The sequence below is a fragment of the Homo sapiens genome, chromosome 8, assembly GCF_000001405.40.
Source record: "Homo sapiens chromosome 8, GRCh38.p14 Primary Assembly".
Lineage (NCBI taxonomy): Eukaryota > Metazoa > Chordata > Mammalia > Primates > Hominidae > Homo > Homo sapiens.
Genome location: NC_000008.11, coordinates 135225009 through 135226669, shown reverse-complemented (window position 1 = coordinate 135226669; position 1661 = coordinate 135225009).

The window sequence follows — 1661 nt, the reverse complement described above, 5'->3', positions numbered from 1 at the left end:
ACACATACACATCCTCAAAACTACCCCCTCTCGGCCACATCATACATCAACTCCTAAAACCTGGAAAAGAGAGGTAGATTTCTTCAAAAATATTCTTCCTGAAGGCTATTTAAGGTTACAAAGAATAGAAATAAATCACATACATCAATGCCCAAATTTCTGAATTTCTTCCTTAAGCATTTTTTTCCCTCAAATTTCCCTTCCCTAAAGAAGCTGTCGTCTCTCTCTCTCCTCACCCTATTGTCTGAAACCCTTGCCCCTACTCCATATCTCAACCATTTACATACCCTGTACCTCGATTAGCCAAACAAAGCCTAGCCTTTAGTCAGATTCTGAGCAGCTGCCCTTGCACGGGCCCTGGCCCACTGAAATCTCTCAGGCAAGCCCAGGTACATCTGGATGGTGGGTGGGGTAGAAGGTGGGGTGATCATGAGGACCAATCTGGCTTAGCTGCTTTTGATGTCTGCCTCTTTCTAGGACACTGGCTTATCTTTGCCCCTGCAAGCCTATTCTGGTACTGGCCAGTGGGCTGATGCTACACAGAAGGATGACTTCCAGCTCCCTGTGAAGGGGGCCTTCACATGTGTGGAGGCTCTGAGAGGAAAAGAGTGAATAGGACAGATTCCATGGAACTTGGAATTTGCAGGCAAATTAGTTTGTCATTGTACCTGCTCAAATGTTAGCTTCCTCATCTTCCTTTTCTGGAAGCAAAATATTGCCAATAGCTTTACCAATTTAAGAAAGTGAGAATTTTCCTAGCTCCTCAAACACTGGCCTTGCTAACAACCCCATGTTTTCTCTTCCATCCATCTTCCATGCCTCACTGAAACACCGAATACACCTGACTGCCCACAATCAACAGTGTCTGAACATGCAAAAACTCATGAAGGCTGGCAACTTATTTTTAATTTGTACATTGTCTTCAAAAATTACATACACCTTGGCACTTTCAAAAGTCATGCTCCTTTGCCCTCAACTGCAGAATCAGGACTAAATGAAAAATTAAAGCCAGTGTGTGTGTGTGTGTGTGTGTGTGTGTGTGTGTGTGTGTGTGTGTGTGTGTGTGTGTTTCCATTCCAAAAGTGCGTCCTAATTTGGGTCAATTAAGTTGTATTTTATACTAATGGCAATCTGAATAAAATGTGAGAAGAGGGTACCTGTCTTTCAAGACTTCAAAGGTAATATAAAAAAGCAAGCAAATGAAATATCCATATCCATTTTAAAGCACCAAGACATTAAGAGTCCTATCATTGTTTCTGACAGCCAGGCACACATTTCACAACTCTGGGAATGCTTCAGACAAAACAAAGACAGCCTTTCTAAAGAAGAGACTATGATTGTGTGAGGAATAGGGAGGAGTTTAAAGGGCTAAGCCCAAGGAACAGGCAGGGGGGCAAAAGCTAGATCTGAAGGGAATTTACAGTGACGCCATTAGACCCAGGTGGCAAATGGGAGTTGGGACAAGAGAGCGTCCCCAAGGCAATGCCATCAGAGAGGCCTGAGTAGACCCATGCATGGCAGGCAGGAAATGCATGGCAGTGGTGGCAAATGGGGGAGCCAGGTGGCAAATGGGAGACCCAGGTGACAAATGGGAGTTGGAACCAGGAGAGCGTCCCCAAGTCAATGCCATCAGGGGTGTCTGGGTGGACTCATGCATGGCA